Raw genomic sequence first — 12822 nt, forward strand, 5'->3', positions numbered from 1 at the left:
AGAGAGAAGTAGGAACTAGGTGCTATCCTCTCTCCTGGTGGGTAAAACAGTGATACTCCCTCATTTAGCCAAGGAGCAAATCACAGCCTTCTCGGGGGAAAGGACAGAGAAGTAGAACCCCCGGTTTGCCTTCCTGGTCTGGATTTTCTGTTTAGAGCTATTAACTTTCTGACTCATTTACTGGTCCCTTTGGCCTATCGGACAACAGCCTCCCTGTGGGCCGGTCTCAGCATCTCCATTCTCTTCACAGTAACTGAAATGTGGGAAACCTAATGTACACACTCATTTCCCTCCCACACTGTCTGACAATAATTAGGCAGTAGCTTCAACTGGCCACTTTTTTCTCTCTACCCAGAGGAGATGGGCAGACTGGAAACCTCAAACTGGAAGGCCTTCTCTGCCCAAAGAAGAGATCCCATTGAAGGTATTTCTGGTGGGGAGGCCTAGGCCCTTCATGCTAGGTCCTATTCTTTAGGGTTCCCTATGTCATCAAGCAGCCAGCCCCAGCTTTTGTCCACTAATCTTGTACCCTTCTGTCTTCCCTGGCCCCCCAGATCCTAGCTCTGGAAGTCCCAGATGCTCAGGCTCAGAGCAGGGCACTGGCAACTGGAGAAGGCAGGGGCAAAGGTAACCAAAATGCTAGGAAGCCTAAAGCCTGGGGCCTTTCCTCTACTGGAGCCCGCTTTCAGGAGGCCCATGTGGTTCCCATTAGGATGATAAGTCTGCATCCCCCTCCCCCAGGAGATCTTTGGCTGCTTTCATTGTACTAAGTCTGAGTAGGGTCTTCCCAGAGGTAAGGCAGCCACTCCATCTGCTGGAGCAAAAATTGGCTCTGATTATAGGCAAAGCATTGATTCTGTCTTGGAGGGTGATTAGGCCTGTTTTTATTCTGCCACATTTCAGTAAGGGGAGGATGTCACTGTTTCATTAGAAGAGCTGTGCTAAAAAGATAGACAGTGGAGCTCAGGTTGTTTCTGCACAGAGGTCCTAACTCCAAGAGTGGAGCAAGAAGAGATTCCAACTGCACTAGACCCTACTTGCCCTTGGAGAAGTCCAGAGGGACTCCCAGCAGGTCTCTGGTGTTTTCCAGCCTACAGAGGCCTATCACCTCCCTAAGTTGCAAAGACTATGAAAACCTTTTTGGTGGGCAGTGGTGTGGGAGCAGTGAATTCCAGACATGCTCCATCGCTCCTAGGCTGTGCTGGATGTCGTGGGCAGTAGCTTGGGGACCAGGAGCCAGGCCAGAGGACCCTCTTCCAGAAGGCACTCCTTTACCTGAGCTGGAGCTGCTGGTTTTCTGCTTTGTGTTTTGTCGAGACTCTTTCATCCAGGGGAAGATTTGTTTGGCCACTGTGGGTGAGTTGAGCAGGGGGCTCTTGGCCGCGTTGGCAGGGGTAGGGTTGTTGCTGGCATTCTGAGGAGGGGAGGCAGAAGAGGGAGGCGGGGGCGCGGCAGGGGTAGGTGCAGGGGGCTGAGGTGCGGGCTGAGGCGGCTGTGGGGCAGGGGGCGCGGCCTGGGGCGGCGGCGGGTGCAGGGGCGGCTCTCCCAGGCTTGGAGGCTGGCTAGGTGGGGCGCTCAGGGTGCGCAGGCACGCCTCACTCAGTTCGTGTGCCTTGGGGTGGCCCCCGGCGCTGGAGGGAGACTGGAGGGAGCAGGCGGGTCGGTGGTACTCGCCGTCGGCGCCCAAAGCGGCGGACGCCGGGTACGGCTGCTGATTGGCATTATAAGCGAACCCGTTGGCTGCCTGGTAGGGGTAGCCACCGTAGATCGCCGAGCTGTCGTAGTAGGTCGCTTTTTGCATCGCGTTGTTTCACGATCTTGATCGCACACTCTGACAGGGGTTTGACACCCGTGAGGGCGCACATTGGCACGCCCCCGCGGTCACGTGACACTCCGCCGCCAATGGCCGCCCCGCGCAGACCTGGTGGGGCGAGAAGCGCAGCGCGGTGAGGGCTCCGCGCAAATCCATCTTACTCTCAATAGCTAAGTGACATGAAAGCCATAAAAGAAAAAGTGGTCAGCAATATTTAGCAGCACGACTTGGCCCCGGGCGCAGGGAGCCGTGCTATAAAAAACCGCTGGAATTTACTGGCAGCTACAAATATTTGCTTAACTTGCGTCTGGAGTTGGGGGATTTTCCGGGGAGAAGGAGAATGAGTGAGGGCTGCAAGCTGATTCTCAGGAGCCGGGATCCAAAAGGAGAAAGGCTTGATAGGCTAGAAAGGAAAAAGGCTGGGATCTTTCTTTTCCAGGGAAGAAGAAACTTGGGGTGTCGCTTAGTTTCTGCTCCTTGGCCTCCTCCAGAGGGCCCAAGACTCCTCCACTCTGGGAATGTTGGGAAGGGAACGAGGAGGCAAAGGGGAGCTTGGGTCGCCAATGTTTTCTCCGCTTTAGGACTGATGTTTGCCAAAAGAGCCCTGAGATGGGGTAACTTCCCACCCAGCTCCTTCTTGGACCTTCCTGCTCCCAAGAGAGGTTTGCACAAAAAATTTCAGGCAATTTGCCCCATCCAACCATGCTGGATTTCAGAAGCTGAGCTTGTTAGGAAGTTAATCCACCTTGTTGGGGATATGACTCACCTCCTCCAAATGAACCCCTTGTGGCCAAGCCAAGGGGGGAGGGAAAACTTTGTGTGGAACACATTGCGTGTGTGTGTGTGTGTGTGTGTGTGTGTTTAGGGTGAGGGACCAACAGTAACACCCCACCCAGCAAGTCACAACTAAAATCCTGGAGAGTTCTTTACTCCTTTCCTCTCCCTGTTTCTCAGGCACTTCCCAGCAAGCCACCCCCACTTCTTTACTTCTTTCCCCCAGTTACAGAAGGTTCCCAGAACCTCCTGTCTTGGACTTTCTAAGGTGCTGTTATTCGGGGCAACTATCAAATTCTACCTGTTAAAACATGATGGATTAGAGGGGGAAAAAAAACCCCTCCAGGAACCTGAAAAACCAGCGTTCATCTCCATGACCACAGTTTGAACTCTCCTTCCAACTTAACGATAATAGGTTCTGTCTTAGAAACTGCTATGTAATTTGATGTATGGGGGTCATTTGGCTCCCGACGAGGGATGGAAGCACAAGCCATAAAATCCTGCCAGAGTTTCCTGATCTTTGTGTGCTGTTGTTGTTGTTGATATTTTGTTACTTGGCCTATTTACCTGCTTCAGAAATACCAAGTAAAGGATAACCCTGAAAATCTAAAAAGCAGTTGAAAACCTCCTCAACCCTCTTTCATTTAGAAAGCAGTTTGCAAAAGTTAAATCTGTTTTCTTTTTGTTTTCAACCACTGCATGGTCAACCTCTAGTTCTCAGCACAGAAAAGTTCCATGTGAGTTTCAAATATTCACCCACACACACACTCAGAATCTTAGTCCCTCTGACCACTCAAGAAAATTATAACAAATTCAAAAGAAAATGGTTAACATGCAATCCAACTATGTATATTGAGTCCCAGAGTTATTCAAGTTTTCCAGGAATATTAGATGCTTTGTTAACTAGAAAAAAAAAGATAATGTATTGCATCTACCAGTAGATGATTATAATTCCATTGTTGATAATGGACTCCTTTAGATTTCATTATTAAGCCAACAATCTTACCAACATCTGCAAAACAGGCACAATTAATTTTCCAGAACCTCGATTAAAAATTACAGCATCGCTTATCCAGAGTTATTGTCAGTGATCATGAGCCCTGGAGCATTGTTTCTCTTTTGGAAATAGGAAGCTACACATACCATGGTTGAAAGTAAATAAAGGATAAAGTAAAACTTAAAACTGAATAGCAATTTAGTGTATCCGTTTCCTTTTCTTTTACTGAAAACAGTTCCTATTACATTTGGCAGTGTCAATGTCTGCCATTACAAATTTTTTAGATACCAGGCTTGTGTAAAATAAAATGTCAGGTTAAGAAAATTAGACACTCGAACAGCAAGATATTAGATAAAACAAAATTAAGCTGATTTTGCACATGCAATATTTCTAGTGACTTGCTAATCCATTATCACGTTATACCAGCCTGCTACTTAGTTAAGCCTTTTTATCAAGTTGTGCATTGTCTTACAAAATAACAAAAATATCTTTGAAAATCAAAGAGCATACAACAGCCCTCGTAAACTTAAAATATAAATTCGATTCTGGGATCCCACCAAAATCCTTCCTATTGTTCGAGGTCAGCAGACCACCACCTTGGAGCTCATACATCCCCCCACCCCAACCCAGCCCCCAAAGTTTGCAACCTAGTAAAGAAGTTGGAGATTTGCCAGCCAGGAAACTTTGCTCTGTACCGCCAAGCAAGGGCTGGGGATGAGGGGAGATTCCTCCACAAAGATCTGTTTCTGGACAATAATCCCCAGGTGCAAGAGCCGAAAGAGAGTTGAAGAGGCTAAATTGAGTGCAAGAAGCAAGCCCTATTGTCTCTCTGGAAGATGTGCCCAAATTCAACCTCCGTCCTTCAGACATCGCTCCCTCTTCCCATTCCCTCCTCTTTCTTAGCCTTCCCTCACCCCAAATCTGAGCGGGTTCGTCGGATAGGAGCCCCGAGTCCCCTGCCCACCTCTCCTTCCCTCTGCAACCCAGAAAAGTTAAGGCTGGGCTAGGGGAGAGGCAAGAGGTGGGGGCGGGGATGGGAAAGCGGCCTGAACTCGAAGTGTAAGGGTATCAGTCACTGCCGGGAAGGAAGCTCCGGCTTGTGAACTCTTCTTGAACCGAGATTTAAGTCTGCAGCCATAAATCACCGAGACGTAAACTCCGCCATTCAGCGCCGGGAGCGGCCGGTTGCGGCCCTGCTTACCTTAACTTCTGACGAGCGCAGGCTCGGGCTCAGGCTCCGACACGGGCTCTGGCCCCCGGCCTGGCTTGGCGGCCCGGCCGGGTCCCCTCGGCGCGGGATGGGCACGGACCCTCAGCATCAGCCGAGATGGCAGGCGGGCTGGAGACCCCGAGGCCCGGTCACCGCCGCGCAGAGCGTGGCCGCCTCGCTGCTCCAGCACGGCTCGCCCAGGGCCGACTGGGGCGGCTTGGACCCCCCTCCCACCCACCCCACCCACCCACCCCTCCCCCACACCCCCGCCCCCTGCCCTTCCCGAGGGCAGCAGCCGCGGCCCGGAGATAAGCGCTAGTGCGGCGCCGGGCTCTGCCTGGGCTAGTGGCACCGACTTGGGTATGTTTCTTATGAATATTACACGCGGAGCAGCGTCTGGTCCGGGGGTGCGGTGGGGGGTGTTGGGGCGGGCGGGAGGGGAGACCAAGGCGGCTGGGGAAGCGCGGGCTGGTGTGGGGGATGGGGCTGAGGCGAGGGGAGGGACCGGAGGGAGAAGGGGAGCTCGGCGGTGGCGGGAGGAGGGCAGCCTCCCCCCACCCCCCAACGCCCTCCCTCTCCTGCTCCCAGGCGTCACGAAAGTCCAGGAAAATTATGCTAATGAGGACAAACGGCTCTCACAAAGGGGCTCTCTTGCTGGGCTCTATTTCTTAGGAATTCGTTTGAGAAACTTCGTATTCCTCTGCCCTGGACACTTCCAATTGTGGGGTGAGGGGAAAGAGAACCAAGAAAAGTGAGTTTCCCAGACTTTGCCCAGTTTACTTCACCTGCAACTCCCAAACAGATCTTTGGGTGGGGGTGTGGGGAGCTGGGATAAGGCTTTTCTCTAGAGACCCTCAAGAGCCAACTGGGCTCTCTTTGGTTAAATTTTCAGGCAGAAACTGCTGACATCCTAGCAGCCAGGAGAAAAATGTCCTGGGAGAGACAGGTACTTGTTCCAGCAGTGAAATGGGATGCTCTGGGCTCAGGTACAAACAAGGGTGTTTAGAAACGCGGATCTCCAGGGCTCATGTGCCCATTTCAGAGTGCAGACACGCAGCTCACCCACAGGGAAGACAGAGAAAGCTCTGACCCCAAGAGAAACCGACATCATACACACACACACACACACACACACGCAGGGCAGAGGAATATGTGGTTTCTCAAACGGATTCCTAAAACATACATATATATATAATATATATTATATATATAATATATATTATATATATAATATATATTATATATATGTATATACATATTTTCCTCATTAGTGGGATGGAGTAACGCTGAGCTGGGCAAAAGAAAGGTCCGAATTTGCCTGGTAATATTGCCACAACTTGAAAGTGGATGATTTTCCTCCTAAAGCCTCCTTTGCTCCCAGCTTCAGAAGCAAACTCTGCAAGGGTACGAGTGTGGCAAAAAGAGAAATGGAGATTTCTCTCTTTTGCTGCAATCCCAAGGCGTCAACGGCGGGTCCTTCTCAAAGGAAGGTGTTAAAAATATAAGTAGTATGTTTAAACTGTCAAGGAGCCAAAGTGTCACCTTAGAGCAAAAACAAAGCCAGGGGAAAAGGGAGAAATCAAAAAGCACTCCGGGCCAGGGTGGCCTCATGCATACCAATGGTTTTTGTCATTTATGGCTGGGCAAGATTTATGACTCGGCGCCCCAAAGCTGTAAACAGAGCACAAAACAGCAAACACTTGCTCCTTATGGCATATTGCAGAGCAACTTGAAAGGGGGAGCTGGCCGCGTAGGAGGTGAGAGCCAGCCGCAAAAATCCGTTCGGCGGCATTTTCTCTTCAAACCCGCCCGGTCGGATGTGGCATTTGAAGAAAGAAGGCGTGGGTCAATAATCAACCCGCACTTTCTCCTCCAAACTGCTGACGCGACTCTCACCGCCTTCTCAGCTAAGCCAGCTGCCGGGAAGGCCAGCTCTCCGTAAGAACCTGCCAGGGGAAGGGATTCTCTGGGCCAAGGGGACCGAGGGCTCCCGAGCAAGGGCTGGGGCGCCCTGAAAGCATACCTTTCCACTGGCGCCAAGACCCTGCCGGGCAAAACGCGGGGACCAGACCTGAGGAGCCGTGGGAGCCCAGGGAGATCTGGGGCGGGAGCTTCGTTCCGGCCAGGGCCTCTATCCGCCCCGATACGTGGCTCCTGGGCCGCGGGCCTCAGCGGGCAGAAGTGGGGCTCCGACCTCAAGATGAAGGTCCAGCGTCCTGGCATGCAGATGGTCGGTGCCCCAGCCTCAAGCCGCTCTGCTTAAATCCAAAGGACTGGCTTTGGAGCAAGCGTAGGCGAGATTATTTTAAAATAATAATTTATGCTGGCGGAAGGTTTTTATTTGTTGGTTTGCTATTGGTGTTTTGTTTTTTAAGCGAAAATGCCGATTGTTGATTTCCACCTCCAGAAATTACCAGCCGCCGCCGCTGCGCCCTTTCTAGACAAATCCCACAGCAGTTCACCCGGCTCCCCCAAAACCGCAGAGCTTTTCTTTACTGAGAGGACCCCTTGGTTCCACCAATTCCCCCAAATCCCCGTGGCTCCCGATCTCTCATCCAGGGGGACTAGAAGAAAAGATTTTCTCAGCACTAGAAGAATACTTGGAGCAGCAAAGGTGCCCGTGGTGTCTTTCTACCATTCAAGGGGTGTCCTCCTGAAGGCGTCTGAGAGGGCCTCTGGCGGTTCCAAGGCTGTGCAGCCGGGGAGGAAGGTGAGGAATATCGTGGGTAAGAAGAGGCACCAAAATCACAGAATAGAGAGGAAAATTATTGAGGAAATGTACTTGCCTGTGAGGGTGAAGCTGGCATTTCGAGGTAGAAGGGGACTAGCCTTTTTTGATATCTAATAGTTTAGCATTATACGTAATGGACTCACTTTAGCACTTTCATGGGAGGAAAAACCAATCTGAGCTCTATAAATGTGGCTCTTGGCTTCTCACTGTGCATGCTTTTATGTAGAACCAGAGTCCATCCTTAGATATTTATTCAGCTTGCTGGCACTGAAGCAACAATAAAAAGATGCCTCTAACAAACCTCTATTCCCTCTCTCATTCTTTCTAGCAAAACTATATTATTTATGAGTCTTTAACTGGGTCAAAAATGCGCCAGAACTAGGTCATAAATCATATGAAATGCTGACAAGTAATTGAACAGCAATTAAAGCTTACATTTTATTTCCAAGGGGTGTTTTAGAGCACTTGAAAGGGCCTCAGTTAAACACTTGGTTACTGCCGAGGCCGGCACTGGGGAGGGCAGAAGGGCCCTTTCGTTCTGGGGTAGTAAATCCCACTCAAGTAGGGGATGCCTGATTTGATTTTTTTTTCACGTACAGAAAGAAATAATCTATATTTTAAGAAGTGAAAGGGGCACATCCGACCTCTGACTCCTTATAAGCATCCCTTTCCCTACTGCAAGGAGCATAATAGAGTTTCCTGCACCTTTCCAGGGAGTTCCCACCCTTCCCAGGAGTGTGGGGTCCCCAAAGCCCAATTAGCTGGGGCTTTCCCAATAATCTGGAAACATGCAGTTTAACTTTCATCTGCCTCCACCCTGGCTACAGCTCTGTTTTGGAGGCTCTGAAGCTGGAGAGATGTCTGCCTCTGCTTCCTGAGGACTCTTGTCTCTGGACTTCCCTCCAACCCAGGGCCCACTGGCCAGTTCTGGAACTCTCCAAGCCAGCTGGGGGTACACAAGGAATGCCCAGACCAGGCGCACTGATGAAGTCCAAACCTAATCCTGGCTCCCTCCTTCCTCTGTCTCCCGAATGTTAGAATAAGGAGCCCCTGGGCATCCAGCATGCTCACCCCACCCCAAGGCTCTCCTAGGTCTGAGCTGTCTTTCTTCAACCCTCTGGGGCAGAGGGTGCTCAGGGAAACAATGGCGGGCCCTCCGGTTCAGATCCTTGGGTCTGGCTTCTTGGGTCCGGCTTGTGGGGAAGCATGCTCTGCAATCTGGCACTAAACAAAGTGCCTGGAAGCATCATCAATAAAATGGCAGCGCATCTGCACATTTCCCTCATCGATTTCCCTCTTCCAGCTGCTCCGGCTGCTCAGGTCAGCCCCTAATCCTCCATCCCCTGCCTGAAAACACCGCCATCCTGGGAGAGATTCCCCTTCTCACCCACCCATCCCCCACCCCTCCCAGGCAATCTAGCCCTGCAAGCCGGTCCACCTCTGCCTGCACCTGGCTTCTGGACCCTCTTTCCGCCTGGGGATCAGCTCCTGAGACTCCAGCCCTGCCCTGCTGCAGTGGACAAAGCCACCCTTGCACTGGGGGCCACTGGGCCCACCTAGGAGCCCCCCTAGTGCCCCCTCCTTTACACCCCCAACACTTTCCAGGGAATTAAATTCAGAGTCTGAGGCGCTACTGGGAATCTTTCAAATGGTTTCGGTTCTAAAAGAGAAACAAAGGAAGAGAGAGGCTGAGGGTCCTGTCCATGAGCCAGGGTCTCCTCGCCTGACCTTTGTCTCTCACAGCCATAACTCACTCTAGATATGAACAATCGGCGGAAATACCTTAAAATAAATTCCATCCTCCTGGTATAGCCTCGACTTCCATCGGCTAGCTCGCCCAGAACCGCTCCATGAGTGCTGAAAACTGCAATCGGCTCAGAGAGCGCTCTCCGGAGAAGGGGAAGGAGAAGGAGGAGGTGGGTGCGTGGGGGTTGGGGGAAAGCTCTGGCTCTGTAGAGAATCTAGAAAACGTAATCACAGGCGAAGCCTGTCTGGGTCTCCGCTCCAAATGCCACAATAATGCGCTGTATTATGTGCTCACGTGGTCATACGTCAACTTAAATCCTTTTATTTGAAATAGGGAACCACTGAAGGAACTAGGTTTCCAAACAGAATATTTAGCTTTGGGGGAGGGTAGGTGGGGAACCTTGACCAGCAGTTTTGAGTTTAAGAGTTCTGTCTAAGCAATAGGATGCTTGGAGCCATCCTCCCATGAATGCCATATAAGACATACAAGCTTATCTCCACTTATATTTCTTTACACACCCTCCAAACACAAGGGTTACAGCAATGCTATTCACATTTTTAGAATCCATTTAACTTTCCTTACAGCCTCCCACCCACGGACAAGCTGGATCCTGCACACCCATGCACCCCAGTCTCCTCTGGCCCACAGGCCAGTATATCAAAAGGCAAGGGGCAGGCCCAGAAATAACTGGCCTGGACAGCGGACTTCCTCACAGCCTGCCATTGTATGGAGTTTGCTAACACCCACACCATACACTACAGACGCAAGAAACACCAAAAAGGCACATAATTACCTGACAAAAGGTTAAAGCATCTCCTCCAAGTCCAGTTGGTTTTGTTCAGTGGGAGCCCACTAGGAAAGATGTGCTTGGCTATAGAGTGGTGGGTCCGGGTTTTGCAAAATCTAGAGAAACCTAGTGCCCTGACTAAACTTGCACTTAAGCATTTCCTCAGTGCACAACTGAGTGATACATGGAATTATAAGTTTCTAAACATAAAAAATATCAGAGGAAATGATCTAATTGCTCTGCAAGAGACCCCCCCCCCCAAAAAAAATAAGAAAAAAAAGAAAAAGAATCAACCTTCACTGGAGTGCCTTAAGTTAACAAGGCAATCTGGGACCCTCTCCACAGGCAGGTCTGTCCACCCACTTTTCCAAGACAATTCTGTGTCCACCAGCAAATTCTCTCCCCACCCCCACACAAGTTCCTATAGAGATATCAACTCAAAGATGAGAAAGAGCCCCCTTCAGAACTCTCAAAATAATCTTGAGCAGAAAACCAGTAGAGAACCAACTGTGCTCAGGAAGAACCTAACTGAAACAAATAAGCTGCTCCCACCCTTGGTTCCACCCCTACTCCTGCCTTCTGCCTGATGACATTGCCCACTAATTTCAACATTGTACCGTTTCATGAGCTGTCTAAAAATCTTCTCTTTTCTGGTCTTAGTTTCTGAACTTCTGAGAGTGCTCTGAGGCTAGTGAGATCCTCAGGCCATATTCTTTTTTTCCTGGAGAATGGGTCTTCAGCTGGCTATGCCTGAGTGTGAGGACTCACTTATAGCAGCTGCAGGAGGCTGTGCATGATTCCTCCCCTTCACTCCTCCCCTGCAGAGGAACAGAAGGGGTCTGATGAAAATGTAAGGCCTTTCATAAGAGAACTTGTTCATGGGTTGTCCAAATCAGAAAGGCAATAAAAGAAGAGACCTAATCCCCTGGAAGCAAGTCCTGGCCTAAGCTGGTGACAATATTTCAGTAAGGTTCAATCTGTGGTGTAGCTGGAAGAGAACCTCCATGTGAACTTTTCCAGCTCCTATCTAAGTTACAAGCTGGAAAGTAAGAACTCCAAGTGAAAACCTGCCTCTCTCAGGTTTGGGGGATAGAGGACAGGAGTAGAAGCTGGTTTCCAAAAAGCGTTCTCCTGACCCCCAAGAACTCACTCCTCTCATTCTTACTGCTGCCTGCCTCATACCCCTCACCAATCATTCACACTGAGCTCTCCAGATACCCTAGAAAGGGACCTGGAGGTATTGCTGGCAAATTCCTCCCTACCCCCAAGTTTCTGAAGAGGCATCAACTCAAAGATGAGAAGGGGCCCCCTTCAAAGCTCTTGGAACAGTCGAGCAAATGAAAACTCTTAAAGCCATAAATTGTCCGGGTGCGGTGGCTCATGCCTGTAATCCCAGCACTTTGGGAGGCCGAGGTGGGTGGATCATGAGGTCAGCAGTTCGAGACCAGCCTGAACAACATGGTGCAACCCCGTCTGTACTAAAAATACAAAAATTAGCCAGGCATGGTGGTGCATGCCTGTAATCCCAGCTAGTCGGGAGGCTGAGGTGGGAAAATCACTTGAAACCAGAAGGCAGAGGTTGCAGTGAGCTGAGATCGTACCACTGCACTCCAGCCTGGGACAGAGCGCGACTCTGTCAAAAAAAAAAAAAAAAAAAAGCCATAAATCAATGAAATAAGTCATTGGTACTGCTTCAGAGAAATGCCTTAACGCCAGCAAAGCTCAGAGGCATCTCAGCTCCAGCCTGGGGCCTCCAAACGGCTGCTAACATCCAGTTAATGCTCCAACTGCTGTTTAACAATTAACATTAATGACTTGGGGTGGGATGGGTGATTTGGTGGGATGAGAAGGGAAAAATCTGAAAAGTCAAAAGACATTTAACTTTTGAGGTTAAAAAACAGCTTCTCTATGAGAGATCTTGGCCTGGGCAGCCTATCTGGGGAACCAGCAGCTGACAGTCCTCCTTTGCCACTCTGCAATCCAGTTTCCTGGAGCAAAGCTACGGGCCTTTTAAAAACCCAGCTGCCAGTCCCTCTTCACTCACTTCACCGGCCTCCAACTTGGCCTGCGCTGGGACTGATACTGTGGTCCTGGTCACCAGAGCCAAAATAGGGGGAAAGCTGGCTTGGAAAAAGCAGGCAACCAAGGGTACACACCGTTAGCCAATATTTGCAAGGCTGTTGGCAGATTAGATATATCTGTACTCAAACACTGCAATCTGATTTCTCTGTCAAAAGTACACTTAACATTTTTGTCCCATTACTTAAATCTAGTGGATTTTCTACTCAGCATCAGGTAAGGCTCTCTTAGCCCACTGTGTGCGTGTGTGTGTGTGTGTGTGTGTGTGTGTGTGTGTGTGTGTGTATGATAGATTCTTATTTAACATGAGATATTTCCTGTGGGTGCAAGTGCAGTAGAGAAATGGGCCAAGTTCTCTGGACACGTGTGGATGTGTATATTGTGTTATACACAAGGCCCCAAATTCCTGCAACTATTTATACATGCAATTGTTCTGTTGTTTGCTGAGATGGAAATCATATACACAGAGTTACAAATTCCTGAAATGTTCCATCTATATTTGATATAAACAGACATACAGTAGCTGAGAAAGTAACACAGCTTGACTATTGCTCTGTTTACCTTCTATTGGAAAAAATAATTGTATCCAGAACACCATATCAGCCTTATAGCACGACTGAATATCATGTTGCAATTAATTAACAACCTGATATCTATTTGGGAGCAAATTTAAGGGAAGACTGG

At 49.8% G+C, this 12822-nt stretch overlaps 1 protein-coding gene across 14 annotated transcripts in view, besides 3 other annotated features; it reads right to left on the reverse strand.

Annotated features, from left to right (window-relative positions):
- Positions 1–12822, reverse strand: part of HOXA3 (homeobox A3) — a 45574-nt gene that overhangs the window by 1830 nt on the left and 30922 nt on the right. For 11 of the 14 annotated variants that reach the window (NM_153631.3, NM_001384335.1, NM_001384336.1 and 8 more), the window contains one exon: positions 1276–1921. In NM_153631.3, the coding sequence (NP_705895.1) occupies positions 1276–1801 (526 nt within the window). In that variant the 5' untranslated portion in view covers positions 1802–1921. Of the gene's footprint in view, positions 1–1275; positions 1922–4785; positions 5004–9307; positions 9519–10676; positions 10757–12822 lie in introns of those variants that run through there. The other 3 variants (NM_030661.5, NM_001384345.1, NM_001384346.1) reach the window with 3 other exon arrangements.
- Positions 2431–2725: an enhancer, noted in NCBI's record as "tiled region #6231; K562 Activating non-DNase unmatched - State 20:ReprD". NCBI's record gives its function as "activates a minimal TATA promoter and a strong SV40 promoter by Sharpr-MPRA in K562 cells {active_cell/tissue: K562}" and the evidence as "EXISTENCE:reporter gene assay evidence [ECO:0000049][PMID:27701403]".
- Positions 4273–4774: an enhancer, noted in NCBI's record as "NANOG hESC enhancer chr7:27152731-27153232 (GRCh37/hg19 assembly coordinates)". NCBI's record gives its function as "activates a minimal SCP1, AML or CMV promoter by ChIP-STARR-seq in naive H9 embryonic stem cells {active_cell/tissue: H9 hESC(naive)}" and the evidence as "EXISTENCE:reporter gene assay evidence [ECO:0000049][PMID:30033119]".
- Positions 6677–6892: a silencer, noted in NCBI's record as "fragment chr7:27155135-27155350 (GRCh37/hg19 assembly coordinates)". NCBI's record gives its function as "represses an EF-1alpha promoter that drives an FKBP-Casp9 reporter gene in an ReSE screen in K562 erythroleukemia cells {active_cell/tissue: K562}" and the evidence as "EXISTENCE:reporter gene assay evidence [ECO:0000049][PMID:32094911]".

Source organism: Homo sapiens, chromosome 7, assembly GCF_000001405.40.
Source record: "Homo sapiens chromosome 7, GRCh38.p14 Primary Assembly".
Taxonomy (NCBI): domain Eukaryota; kingdom Metazoa; phylum Chordata; class Mammalia; order Primates; family Hominidae; genus Homo; species Homo sapiens.